General features: G+C 40.0%; 1 protein-coding gene across 36 annotated transcripts in view, besides 2 other annotated features; it reads right to left on the bottom strand.

Annotated features, from left to right (window-relative positions):
- PTPRM (protein tyrosine phosphatase receptor type M) overlaps positions 1–13,747 on the bottom strand; it is an 839,541-nt gene that overhangs the window by 435,704 nt on the left and 390,090 nt on the right. The gene's annotated exons all lie outside the window — the stretch shown is intronic.
- Positions 4,148–4,442: an enhancer, noted in NCBI's record as "tiled region #1937; HepG2 Activating non-DNase unmatched - State 24:Quies, and K562 Activating non-DNase unmatched - State 24:Quies". NCBI's record gives its function as "activates a minimal TATA promoter and a strong SV40 promoter by Sharpr-MPRA in HepG2 and K562 cells {active_cell/tissue: HepG2 | K562}" and the evidence as "EXISTENCE:reporter gene assay evidence [ECO:0000049][PMID:27701403]".
- Positions 12,940–13,441: an enhancer, noted in NCBI's record as "NANOG hESC enhancer chr18:7957710-7958211 (GRCh37/hg19 assembly coordinates)". NCBI's record gives its function as "activates a minimal SCP1, AML or CMV promoter by ChIP-STARR-seq in naive H9 embryonic stem cells {active_cell/tissue: H9 hESC(naive)}" and the evidence as "EXISTENCE:reporter gene assay evidence [ECO:0000049][PMID:30033119]".

Genomic DNA, 13,747 nt, shown 5'->3' with positions numbered 1-13,747 from the left:
CGTTATTTCTGAGGGCTCTGTTCTGTTCCATTGATCTATATCTCTGTTTTGGTACCAGTACCATGCTGTTTTGGTTACTGTAGCCTTGTAGTATAGTTTGAAGTCAGGTAGTGTGATGCCTCCAGCTTTGTTCTTTTGGCTTAGGATTGACTTGGCGATGCGGGCTCTTTTTTGGTTCCATATGAACTTTAAAGTAGTTTTTTCCAATTCTGTGACGAAAGTCATTGGTAGCTTGATGGGGATGGCATTGAATCTGTAAATTACCTTGGGCAGTATGGCCATTTTCATGATATTGATTCTTCCTACCCATGAGCATGGAATGTTCTTCCATTTGTTTGTGTCCTCTTTTATTTCCTTGAGCAGTGGTTTGTAGTTCTCCTTGAAGAGGTCCTTCACATCCCTTGTAAGTTGGATTCCTAGGTATTTTATTCTCTTTGAAGCAATTGTGAATGGGAGTTCACTCATGATTTGGCTCTCTGTTTGTCTGTTGTTGGTGTATAAGAATGATTGTGATTTTTGTACATTGATTTTGTATCCTGAGACTTTGCTGAAGTTGCTTATCAGCTTAAGGAGATTTTGGGCTGAGACAATGGGGTTTTCTAGATAAACAATCATGTCGTCTGCAAACAGGGACAATTTGACTTCCTCTTTTCCTAATTGAATACCCTTTATTTCCTTCTCCTGCCTGATTGCCCTGGCCAGAACTTCCAACACTATGTTGAATAGGAGCGGTGAGAGAGGGCATCCCTGTCTTGTGCCAGTTTTCAAAGGGAATGCTTCCAGTTTTTGCCCATTCAGTATGATATTGGCTGTGGGTTTGTCATAGATAGCTCTTATTATTTTGAAATACGTCCCATCAATACCTAATTTATTGAGAGTTTTTAGCATGAAGGGTTGTTGAATTTTGTCAAAGGCTTTTTCTGCATCTATTGAGATAATCATGTGGTTTTTGTCTTTGGCTCTGTTTATATGCTGGATTACATTTATTGATTTGCGTATATTGAACCAGCCTTGCATCCCAGGGATGAAGCCCACTTGATCATGGTGGATGAGCTTTTTGATGTGCTGCTGGATTCGGTTTGCCAGTATTTTATTGAGGATTTTTGCATCAATGTTCATCAAGGATATTGGTCTAAAATTCTCTTTTTTGGTTGTGTCTCTGCCCGGCTTTGGTATCAGAATGATGCTGGCCTCATAAAATGAGTTAGGGAGGATTCCCTCTTTTTCTATTGATTGGAATAGTTTCAGAAGGAATGGTACCAGTTCCTCCTTGTACCTCTGGTAGAATTCGGCTGTGAATCCATCTGGTCCTGGACTCTTTTTGGTTGGTAAACTATTGATTATTGCCACAATTTCAGAGCCTGTTATTGGTCTATTCAGAGATTCAACTTCTTCCTGGTTTAGTCTTGGGAGAGTGTATGTGTCGAGGAATGTATCCATTTCTTCTAGATTTTCTAGTTTATTTGCATAGAGGTGTTTGTAGTATTCTCTGATGGTAGTTTGTATTTCTGTGGGATTGGTGGTGATATCCCCTTTATCATTTTTTATTGTGTCTATTTGATTCTTCTCTCTTTTTTTCTTTATTAGTCTTGCTAGCGGTCTATCAATTTTGTTGAACCTTTCAAAAAACAAGCTCCTGGATTCATTGATTTTTTGAAGGGTTTTTTGTGTCTCTATTTCCTTCAGTTCTGCTCTGATTTTAGTTATTTCTTGCCTTCTGCTAGCTTTTGAATGTGTTTGCTCTTGCTTTTCTAGTTCTTTTAATTGAGATGTTAGGGTGTCAATTTTGGATCTTTCCTGCTTTCTCTTGTAGGCATTTAGTGCTATAAATTTCCCTCTACACACTGCTTTGAATGTGTCCCAGAGATTCTGGTATGTGGTGTCTTTGTTCTCGTTGGTTTCAAAGAACATCTTTATTTCTGCCTTCATTTTGTTATGTACCCAGTAGTCATTCAGGAGCAGGTTGTTCAGTTTCCATGTAGTTGAGCGGCTTTGAGTGAGATTCTTAATCCTGAGTTCTAGTTTGATTGCACTGTGGTCTGAGAGATAGTTTGTTATAATTTCTGTTCTTTTACATTTGCTGAGGAGAGCTTTACTTCCAACTATGTGGTCAATTTTGGAATAGGTGTGGTGTGGTGCTGAAAAAAATGTATATTCCGTTGATTTGGGGTGGAGAGTTCTGTAGATGTCTATTAGGTCCGCTTGGTGCAGAGCTGAGTTCAATTCCTGGGTATCCTTGTTGACTTTCTGTCTCGTTGATCTGTCTAATGTTGACAGTGGGGTGTTAAAGTCTCCCATTATTAATGTGTGGGAGTCTAAGTCTCTTTGTAGGTCACTGAGGACTTGCTTTATGAATCTGGGTGCTCCTGTATTGGGTGCATAAATATTTAGGATAGTTAGCTCCTCTTGTTGAATTGATCCCTTTACCATTATGTAATGGCCTTCTTTGTCTCTCTTGATCTTTGTTGGTTTAAAGTCTGTTTTATCAGAGACTAGGATTGCAACCCCTGCCTTTTTTTGTTTTCCATTTGCTTGGTAGATCTTCCTCCATCCTTTTATTTTGAGCCTATGTGTGTCTCTGCACGTGAGATGGGTTTCCTGAATACAGCACACTGATGGGTCTTGACTCTTTATCCAACTTGCCAGTCTGTGTCTTTTAATTGCAGAATTTAGTCCATTTATATTTAAAGTTAATATTGTTATGTGTGAATTTGATCCTGTCATTATGATGTTAGCTGGTGATTTTGCTCATTAGTTGATGCAGTTTCTTCCTAGTCTCAATGGTCTTTACATTTTGGCATGATTTCGCAGCGGCTGGTACCAGTTGTTCCTTTCCATGTTTAGCGCTTCCTTCAGGAGCTCTTTTAGGGCAGGCCTGGTGGTGACAAAATCTCTCAGCATTTGCTTGTCTGTAAAGTATTTTATTTCTTCTTCACTTATGAAGCTTAGTTTGGCTGGATATGAAATTCTGGGTTGAAAATTCTTTTCTTTAAGAATGTTGAATATTGGCCCCCACTCTCTTCTGGCTTGTAGGGTTTCTGCCGAGAGATCTGCTGTTAGTCTGATGGGCTTTCCTTTGAGGGTAACCCGACCTTTCTCTCTGGCTGCCCTTAACATTTTTTCCTTCATTTCAACTTTGGTGAATCTGACAATTATGTGTCTTGGAGTTGCTCTTCTCGAGGAGTATCTTTGTGGCGTTCTGTGTATTTCCTGAATCTGAACGTTGGCCTGCCTTGCTAGATTGGGGAAGTTCTCCTGGATAATATCCTGCAGAGTGTTTTCCAACTTGGTTCCATTCTCCACATCACTTTCAGGTACACCAATCAGACGTAGATTTGGTCTTTTCACATAGTCCCATATTTCTTGGAGGCTTTGCTCATTTCTTTTTATTCTTTTTTCTCTAAACTTCCCTTCTCGCTTCATTTCATTCATTTCATCTTGCATTGCTGATACCCTTTCTTCCAGTTGATCGCATCGGCTCCTGAGGCTTCTGCATTCTTCACGTAGTTCTCAAGCCTTGGTTTTCAGCTCCATCAGCTCCTTTAAGCACTTCTCTGTATTGGTTATTCTAGTTATACATTCTTCTAAATTTTTTTCAAAGTTTTCAACTTCTTTGCCTTTGGTTTGAATGTCCTCCCGTAGCTCAGAGTAATTTGATCGTCTGAAGCCTTCTTCTCTCAGCTCGTCAAAGTCATTCTCCATCCAGCTTTGTTCCGTTGCTGGTGAGGAACTGCGTTCCTTTGGAGGAGGAGAGGCGCTCTGCGTTTTAGAGTTTCCAGTTTTTCTGTTCTGTTTTTTCCCCATCTTTGTGGTTTTATCTACTTTTGGTCTTTGATGATGGTGATGTACAGATGGGTTTTCGGTGTGGATGTCCTTTCTGTTTGTTAGTTTTCCTTCTAACAGACAGGACCCTCAGCTGCAGGTCTGTTGGAATACCCTGCCGTGTGAGGTGTCAGTGTGCCCCTGCTGGGGGGTGCCTCCCAGTTAGGCTGCTCGGGGGTCAGGGGTCAGGGACCCACTTGAGGAGGCAGTCTGCCCGTTCTCAGATCTCCAGCTGCGTGCTGGGAGAACCACTGCTCTCTTCAAAGCTGTCAGACAGGGACATTTAAGTCTGCAGAGGTTACTGCTGTCTTTTTGTTTGTCTGTGCCCTGCCCCCAGAGGTGGAGCCTACAGAGGCAGGCAGGCCTCCTAGAGCTGTGGTGGGCTCCACCCAGTTCGAGCTTCCAGGCTGCTTTGTTTACCTCAGCAAGCCTGGGCAATGGTGGGCGCCCCTCCCCCAGCCTCGCTGCCGCCTTGCGGTTTGATCTCAGACTGCTGTGCTGGCAATCAGCGAGACTCCGTGGGCGTAGGACCCTCCGAGCCAGGTGTGGGATATAGTCTCGTGGTGCGCCGTTTTTTAAGCCGGTCTGAAAAGCGCAGTATTCGGGTGGGAGTGACCCGATTTTCCAGGTGCGCCCGTCACCCCTTTCTTTGACTCGGAAAGGGAACTCCCTGACCCCTTGCGCTTCCCAGGTGAGGCAATGCCTCGCCCTGCTTCGGCTCGCGCACGGTGCGCGCACCCACTGACCTGAGCCCACTGTCTGGCACTCCCTAGTGAGATGAACCCGGTACCTCAGATGGAAATGCAGAAATCACCCGTCTTCTGCGTCGCTCACGCTGGGAGCTGTAGACCGGAGCTGTTCCTATTCGGCCATCTTGGCTCCTCCTTCTAGAAAGGGTTTCAATGCTGACTATAAATATGTGTTTACAGTCACTTGTCCAGATGGATAAGAAGGAAATATTGCTATTTGGTCAATGGGAATATTTTACCTGAATAGTTACATTACTTATATTACTCATTCCACAATGGTAATAACATGGATGGAGGATCAGCAATTTTGGTATCAAACAGCTCTATTATCTTTTCTATTTTAATAACAGGTATAACTATACTTCCTAATAAAATTTCTTGTATTTATAATTTAAATTCCATTTATATGCGTTATTCATTTTTAAAGCATTCTATTCACTTGCAGTTTATTCTAATAGGTAATTACCAGTTATTTATATTCTTAAAATTAATTTATAAAAGTGTTACACAAAGGAACATGGCTAACCCTCATAAACTAAAATTTTGACATATTATCAATCTTTCATAATCTGTTGTTATGACTATACAAGTTTTAGCTCTCATTTATCTTACTTCTTATTTAGCTTTTAAAAGCACAAGCAGCATTATCCTTACAGATGAAGTTGGCAAGTCCTAACTGGAGGCCAGATGCCACTGAGTATGTCCCAGTGAGCCCACATTTCGTGTTAATGAGGACGAATAAACTGAGAGCTGGGTGAATAAGAAGAGAATGCATCTGGATGTGCTGAGAGGAGCATGGATAGAAGGAAGTACACAGGACATATGAGGTCAAGATAAAATCCACCTGCTTCCCAAAGCATGACAGTGGTTCCAGACATAACACATAACATACCTGGTAAGTCAAGAGTGACTGAACTTTTCCTAAAATGTTCAGAAGACAAAGGCTAAGACTGGCTTTGCCCGCTCTGAGGCCAGCGACACTGGATGCAAGGTAAGCCTGGCTCACAAGCAGCCCTATGGTGAACAATCTTACCTGTGTGCTTTAATTCCTTACATCCACACCACCAAGACCCCAGCCATCCAATCTCACTCAATAAGGGTTCACCTACCTTCCTGGGGTATGTGTGCAAATGAGCAAAAGAGAAACATGTCTCCCAGCGCACCTCAGCCTTCTAGCTCTAAGCAAACTGCCATCAAGCTTTGAGTCCTCTGGATAAACTTACAAGTGTTAGAGTGGGCTGGGTGAGGTGGCACATGCATGTAATCCTAGTACTTTGGGAGGCCAAGGCGGGTAGATCACCTGAGGTCAGGAGTTCACTACCAGCCTGATTAACATGGTGAAACCCCATCTCTGCTAAATACAAAAATATTAGCTGGGCGTGGTGGCGCGTGCCTGTAATCCGAGCTACTTGGGGGGCTGACACAGAAGAATCGCTTGTAACTGGGAGGCGGAGGTTGCAGTGAGCCGAGATCATGCCATTGCACATTGCACTCCAGCCTGGGTACACAAGAGCGAAACTCCGTCTCAAAAAAAAAAAAAAAAAAAAAGTGTTAGAGTGGGGGCAGAACCCTCCAAAAAGTTAAAAGTGTCAAAAACACTTATCATGTCACTAATAATTGCAACACATCCACAACCACAGCATAACAGTGTCTCATATGTAAATGAAGTATTTGCAGTTATTCTATTTTTTTGCCACCCTGCAGAACAGGGACCCTGGGTCACTATGCTATTTTCTATCCCGACCACACCTTAAGGAGGCAAAACAAAAAGTTTTCCCAGGTTCCAGTGAACATGTGATCATTTCTTTTTCTTGGCACTACCTTGAAGATACATACATATTTTTTGTTTTGCTTAAACTGCAACTTGTATATGTGTCAAATGCAACCCAATCCATTCAGCTTAAAAGTCCTATTGAAAGATTTCACCATAGGAGTGTGTTTCCCTTGTGGTAACAAAACATAATTTTGTATCAGCATTTAATAGTAAACCTACTTAGGATTCATTCGGGAGCCACCAGGTGACCAAAGTACTCTGCTAACAAGTTTTCCTGCATTAGCATATGTAATTTTCCCAGCAGCATTATGAAGACAATGCTGGTACTGTTTAAAACAAACAAACAAACAACAACAACAACAAAAAAACACTGACCAGAAGGATTAAGAAACTAGGAATAGCAAGGTTAACTCGTTTGTTGAGAGTTTTTAGCTATTTGTGCCAGAACCAACATTCACCCACCCAAGTCAGTCAGACTATAAAGTGAAAGAAGTTTCCCAGGGGAACACTGTTTCCTCTGAATGTTCACAAAGGCAGTCACAAAAGTATAAGCCTCTATGATAATTTAAAGCAGTCAATTATGCTCCAAGTCCTTTTAAAACACATACGTATGCAGTACATACAGATTATGCATAGGACCCCAGTGTAGTATAAATGCTAACATAAAGATCATAAAATATAACCTCTCCACATTATAAATGTGATAAAGAATTAAGGCATGTGCTCTAATAAAAAATTAATCATGTCATCATCAATAATTTTTTTTCTTACTAAATATATAAGAGATTTGGGGGAAATTAAGATGGCCTGGGGTCTCTTTAAGAATTGTTCAAAGCAGATTTAGTAGATGTCTTCCTTTCCTAGGAGATATTGCAGCAGGATGCAGAGGCATCCTCAAACATGTCAGGGGCTGCAGGACCACGCTCACAGCTGTAGCTGGTGCTCAGACAAGGCCTCATACTAACAACAATCATGTTTTTCCCATAGCAAACCCCCTCTGACAGCGACTGATGACCTGTCAGATCCCTAGAACAAGGAAGCTGGTCAAGCCCCTCACAGATAGACAGACAAAATACAGCCTGAAACGGTTCTGTGATTCTTCCCCATGTTAGATGGCTCATTAGAGGGACAGCAGGACTAGGCCACAGGCCCCCGACTGCAATCTCCAGCTCTTTCCCTTGATTTTCCTGGCCTCCTCAGTGTATTCAAAGCTACACAAGAAGCCACCTACAAAGATTTCAAAAACAAGCCTAGAGGAAGTTGAGGAGCACTGTTAGCACGCTCATTTTTCACAGCCAAAGGGCCTGCCTGACACCTTCCAGAGAGTCACAACACCTTAAGAGTCACTGGATAACTCTATGAACAACCACCTCCATCTGTCCACACTTTTTAGAGGAGCTTCTGAACCTCTCATGCAGAATTGCTCCAGCAGTTCTATTCTATACCCCTCTGCTGCTGCCTTAGGGTTCAAGCACAGGGAAAGTGCTGAATCCGTGTTTAAGGGCAGCAGAACTTGAGGTTTAGGTATTAATTACAGAATCTCTGGGGCCTAAACACCTGTAAGGAAGGGACTGAATATATTATAATAAAAAAGACACTGCATTGCTGATATGCCCCTGTCCTATGTACACGGTGACGTGACCCAAAGTATCTGACATCTGCAGCATAATAGGGAAGGTACTCCTCATGCCCTTTTAATGTTCATAATTTAAAAAGGTTTTTAATGGCTTCATGTATTGAAAATTCATTAAAACATGTTGCCCTGTGGCAGAACTGTTTTAGAATTAGAACACTTTTAATTTCTTCCCTGGTAAATAAACTTAAATCAAAAATAAATTATGCTCCACTCAATTAGGTCTTTGGCCTTTATGCCTTCCGAATAACAGCCATTGTTAGATTAGCTCCCACATGGCCCCAGGTACCTGAGGGTCAGCCCTGTAAGTCCAGATACTTATTGCAATGCCAGTGATAATTCTGTACAGAAAACACAAATACTACTATCTTTGATTTAAGAGAAAATACATCAGGTTTTGGCAGGGTTTAATTTCAGATTATTCCCATTTCAACCAGAATTATTTCCTTTTTTCCCACAGAAACAAACTAAAAATAATAAATAAATAGCAGCGAGGTCAGCCTTCGGTTGAATGCAGGCATGGTGCAGTTTGGGCTTCATGTAATGCCCCCTTGCCAAGGAACCTGTCACTACTCATTTCCAACATGAGAATCTCATTCAGATATATTTAAAACGAATCACTCCAGTGTTACCACTAGGCAAACACAGCGAATTAATATTTCAAAACCAATATGAACCTAAATCTAGTGACATTTAGACTGGACCGGGTATGACAGACAGGGTGTGCTACTACATAAGGCACACTGAGAGATATTCTCAGGGTATAAGATAAAAGAAAACACAACACCGTAAATTTGTATTTAGTACAAAATTCCCACAGTCGGGAATGTTGGGTCCTTACTGTGAAGGAACACTAATCCTTTGTTTATCCTCCATATGTATATATATGTTGCCTATATATTCCCTCCCTCCAATACCCCCAAATATATGTTTGTTTATGTATGTTATTTGTTCACAGAAGAACAAGGCAGGCATACAAGAAAGCTACACAAATACATCTGTTCAAGTGCAACAGTACGACTGTCATCACAAAAAAATAGGAGATTCACAAAACTGCATATCACAAATGGGATAAGCAGACACTGAACGTTTCACAGAACAAAGATTGAAAGGTGAAATGACTCCAAATAGTGGCAAGGTATGTCCAGTATCTTCTGCCACTGAAAATACTGCAGATATGATAGCTATTACTGCATGTTATCAAAGCATCTAAGTACAACAAAATACATTTTAATGTAATACATATTCCAAGTTTTTATTATAGTTATGTAAAAAGCTCTAACTAGGCAGATACTAGGCAGACAAATATATAGCTCTACGCAGACAGATATTAAAACTCACTCAATCATTTAAAAAAATGGAAGTTATAAAAACACTATCGCTTTTATAAAAAATCACATTTATAAAAATGTGTATACTTCTTACACATCACATTTATTAAAGACTTCTAATACATCACTCCTATTCCCAGCAAGCAGCAGGCTAGCTGTGGATGGGATGGCTCTGCCATTAGGACAGAACATTTCTAGGATAACTGATCATACTTGGACTCCTCAGGAACCCAGCAGTACATGCTTTACTAGTAAACATTTCCCTAAGTCATAAAGAAGGTGCATTTTTAAACTGAATGCCAAAGTCAGTGCTTATAGTCTCTAAGTAGTTCACAAAGAATTATATGAAACAAATATATACAATTCAATTATCAGCATAATTAAAAAGGTGCAATCGCACACGTGATGACATGGATAAACCTGGAGAACATTATGCTACGTGGAATAAGCCAGTCACAGAAAGACAAATACTGCATGATTCCACTTATAGGAGACACCTAAATAGTTAAATCCATAGAGACAAAAAGGAGACTGGTGGTTGCCAGGGTTATGGGGAAGGGGAGTGGAGAGTTAGTGTTTAGTGGATGCAGTGTTTCAGTTTGGGAAGATGTAAAGATTCTCAATGAAACTAGTATTTGATAGCACAATAGGGTGACAAGAGTCAATAATAATTGTACATTTAAAAATAACAAAGAGTGTAACTGGATTGTTTGTAACACAAAGGATAAATGCTTCAGGTGATGGATACCCCATTTACCCCGATGTGATTATTACATATTGCATGCCTGTATCAAAATATTTCGTGTACCTCATAAATATATACACCTACTATGTACCCACACACGAGAAACAGGTTCTGGAGATTGGCTGAATATACTTAACATGATTTAACTGTACACTTAAAACTCGTTAAGATGGTAAGTTTTGTTATGTGTATTTAAACATAGTAAAATAATAAAAAATATCATCTCCTACCTCTCTATTCTCTATCCCTTCTTCTATTTTTCTTCATAACATTTATCATTTATCTGACACTGTATTGTATACACATGTGTTGTGTGTAGGTATGTGAGTAATATATATATATTAGAGACAGGGTTTTACTCTGTCGATGATGGAGTGCAGTGGTGTGATTACAGCTCACTGCAATCTCCAACTCCTGGGCTCAAGTTATCCTCCTATCTCAGCCTTCCAAGTAGCTGGGACTACAGATGTATGCCACGGTGCCCAGCTAATTATTCTTCATTTAATTTTTTGTAGCAATGGAGTCTTGCTATGTTTCCCTGGCTGTCCTCAAACTCCTAGTATCAAGCAGTCCTCCTGCCTTGGCCACACGTGTGTGTGTGTGTGTGTGTGTGTGTGTATATATATATATATATATATATATATATATGTTGCCTATATACTCCCTTCCTCCAGTACCCCAAAATATATAAGTTCTGAAGACAGAAATCTTGTCACTCTACTGGCAGGGCTTGGAATAGTGCCCGGCAAATACGGATGCTCAATATGCATCTTATGGATAATTTTTTAAGGTGCAATCATTATTGTTTCAAATATTTTTAGGTATATTAATGCTAAAGGACACATTTTAATTAAGCTTTGCTTCACTCTCACCAATCTTAATTGTTTAGTCATTAGTTTATAATAATCCTTCGTTAGCTCCTGGGGCCAGTTATTGGCAAGTCACTTAACCACAGTTAATAACCAATAACCAGAATACATAAAAAGAAGTATCTCCAAATAAAACACATAAAAAAGCCCACTGTGAAAATTAATCTAACAACATCACCCATTTCTCTGTTTCAAGTAGCTACTATTCAATGGCTTATGATATACAGGCTGCACATAATTTGAGAATATAGGATACATTAGAAATCACAAACTAAATTGCATTTTGTTTAACTGGATGCTGAAGTAATTTTAACTCTCTGAAGTTACCCAACTATAGCTGAACTGCAAAGTTGGAAAACAACTGGATATGTATATAAAGCTTGAAGGTAGCTTGACTATAATCACTTTTTACAATAACCCATATTGACAGGGCATTTTATCACTTTGAAAAATGTCTTTACAGATAAAATCTACCCTGATCTTCAAAAACACCACTGATACAGTCAGGGCAGGTGTTGCTGCCCCAAATTAGAGATGAAGATGTGGAATCAGGGAAGCTATGTGATTGGATCAAGGTCTTGCATGGAGAGCTTGTGCATATATTTGGAAATAATTTTCAGAAGCATAAGAAGCAAGAGTTTTGGAAGTGTGTTACAATACAATCCTTGCAGAAATCCAACCAGGTAATGAGACTGTGTCTACAAGCCACACAGGAATGATGGGTAATAAATAGTGATCTTGCCATTTTAATACAAGAAGCTAAATACAGTTTCATGGGTGTCACCAAAAAATGATAGGACAGGTGTCACTGATGCAGCACAGAAACGAAAACACAGAGCTTGGCCAAAATAAACAGATTTAACAGATGAGAACATAATGCACAACTGCAAAGAATTCTATGAGCCCACAATAGAAATCATGGTTCTCAGATTTTAGATTTCCCAGATAAGCAATATTTCTAAAACATTGGGTAATGAGGTAGCCAGTGTCTAATTCTTCTGAATGAAAATATTAAAAGACAAAAATTTATTAAATGGTAGTTAACTCTGATTGACCACATGCTATATGTAAGAGTTTGTTCTAGGCAACTGATATTCAGTAGCTCATTAAGGCTCACAACAAAACAATGAAACACATATTATTATTATCATCACCTCTGTTTTATAGATAAGGCAACTCAGGCCCAGAGAGGGTTAGCAGTTTTTCTCTAGTCCTATGTCTAGTGCCAGGCAGAGCCAACACTAAAACTCAGGTAGCTGCTCCCAGAGCCTGTGTTCTCAACCGCTGACTCTGGCTCTAGCACCCAAAAGCACTATTATTTCAAGAACTGAAGTGATGTTTTAGCACAAAACCCAGGCAGGAAATCTCAGAGTGAGTCAGTCCTTCAAATTTATTTTACTTCACTGTAATAAAAACTTATACGTTCTCCCCCTTTGCTCGGATTTTTGGAAATGTAATAGCAGACCTTCACTGCCCAAAGAATAGTACTTGATAAGCATGATTATGGAGTATTTAGACAAGGATGAAATAAAAATGAAACTGAAAGGCTTTCAGGGTAGAAATATCCGGTGGATCATCTCATCAGAAAGCAAACAAGAAATGAATCATAGAATTTCATACTGAAGAGATCTTCAAGGTCAACCAGCTCAATCCTCTTCTGAATATAGAAATCAATTTCTACCATGTCAGGTTATGCTTGAACAAATCAGCCACAAGAAACTCACTCAGATCTTGTCGAGTTTACACAGGTGCCCTTTCCTCCCCATCCCCTTCTCAGTTCTTTCCACCATTCCTCATTAGTTAAGAAAGGTTCCACATCCTTTCCTATCCTGATTGCTCTCCCCATGGGCAAAATCTATTTTGTGCTGTCTCTCTTAAAAAGCAGGAACTAGAAATAAATGTGAGAATTATGAGAAGCCTAAACAGCACTGGTAGAGTAAGGCTATCACCTCCTTCAATATGGGCATTTTGCTTTCCTGATGCAACCTAAGATTATTTTAGGATTTTTTTTTTTTTTTTTTTGCAGGGGATGGTGAGGCACTAACATCACAGGGATAATTTATACAAGATGGATGATATTGTAGATTCATTTGCATTGAAGCCAAATCCTCAATCTCTTCTTCATACATATTGCTGCTAAATTGTATTACTCTAATTCCAAGCCAGTACTCTTGGCTTTTTTGAACCATACAGGAAGGATTTAGATTTATTCCTATTACTTATCACCCTGTTAGATTCATCAACCATTTGCCCCTGGCCAAGGATGTTTTCCACTTATTGCTGCAGAATGCTTCTAGTCTCTCCCATGTTTATGAAATCCATGATTTGCTCTTTAGGTACTCTAAATGCTCACAAACCATCTGAATAATACTTTGGGACTGATACCAAACTTTCAGTCTATAATTTACAGCACACGTTTCCCTTTAACTTGCTCCTGCTTCCCAAAATTCCACACTGATCATAATCAGTGATTACTGATATTACCTGCAGATTTTCTCAAAACCCCAGGTCAAGAAAGGGTGAACCATATTTCTTCCTATAGCAAAAAGTCTCATTTGACTTCACTTTCCTCACCTTTCACTTTCCTCACCCACCTAACATGCCTTCCCCTCTTCTTTCTAACTTTGACCCTTTCACCTAACATATCTCTCTCCATTTTCTAAGGGTGACTCCATGCCAGCACAGGGCACAACCAGACCATGCATCACGAACAGTGCCAACTGCAGGCTGCAAACAGTTAAGAGGAAAGGGCGCATCGTCATTAGGCTTCCTGGTTTAGGTGAGGTTTCATACATTGAGGCACAGTGTGGGCCTACAAATATCA

The sequence above is a fragment of the Homo sapiens genome, chromosome 18 (assembly GCF_000001405.40).
Source record: "Homo sapiens chromosome 18, GRCh38.p14 Primary Assembly".
Classification (NCBI taxonomy): Eukaryota; Metazoa; Chordata; class Mammalia; order Primates; family Hominidae; genus Homo; species Homo sapiens.
This window is presented reverse-complemented; position numbering and strand designations above follow the sequence as displayed.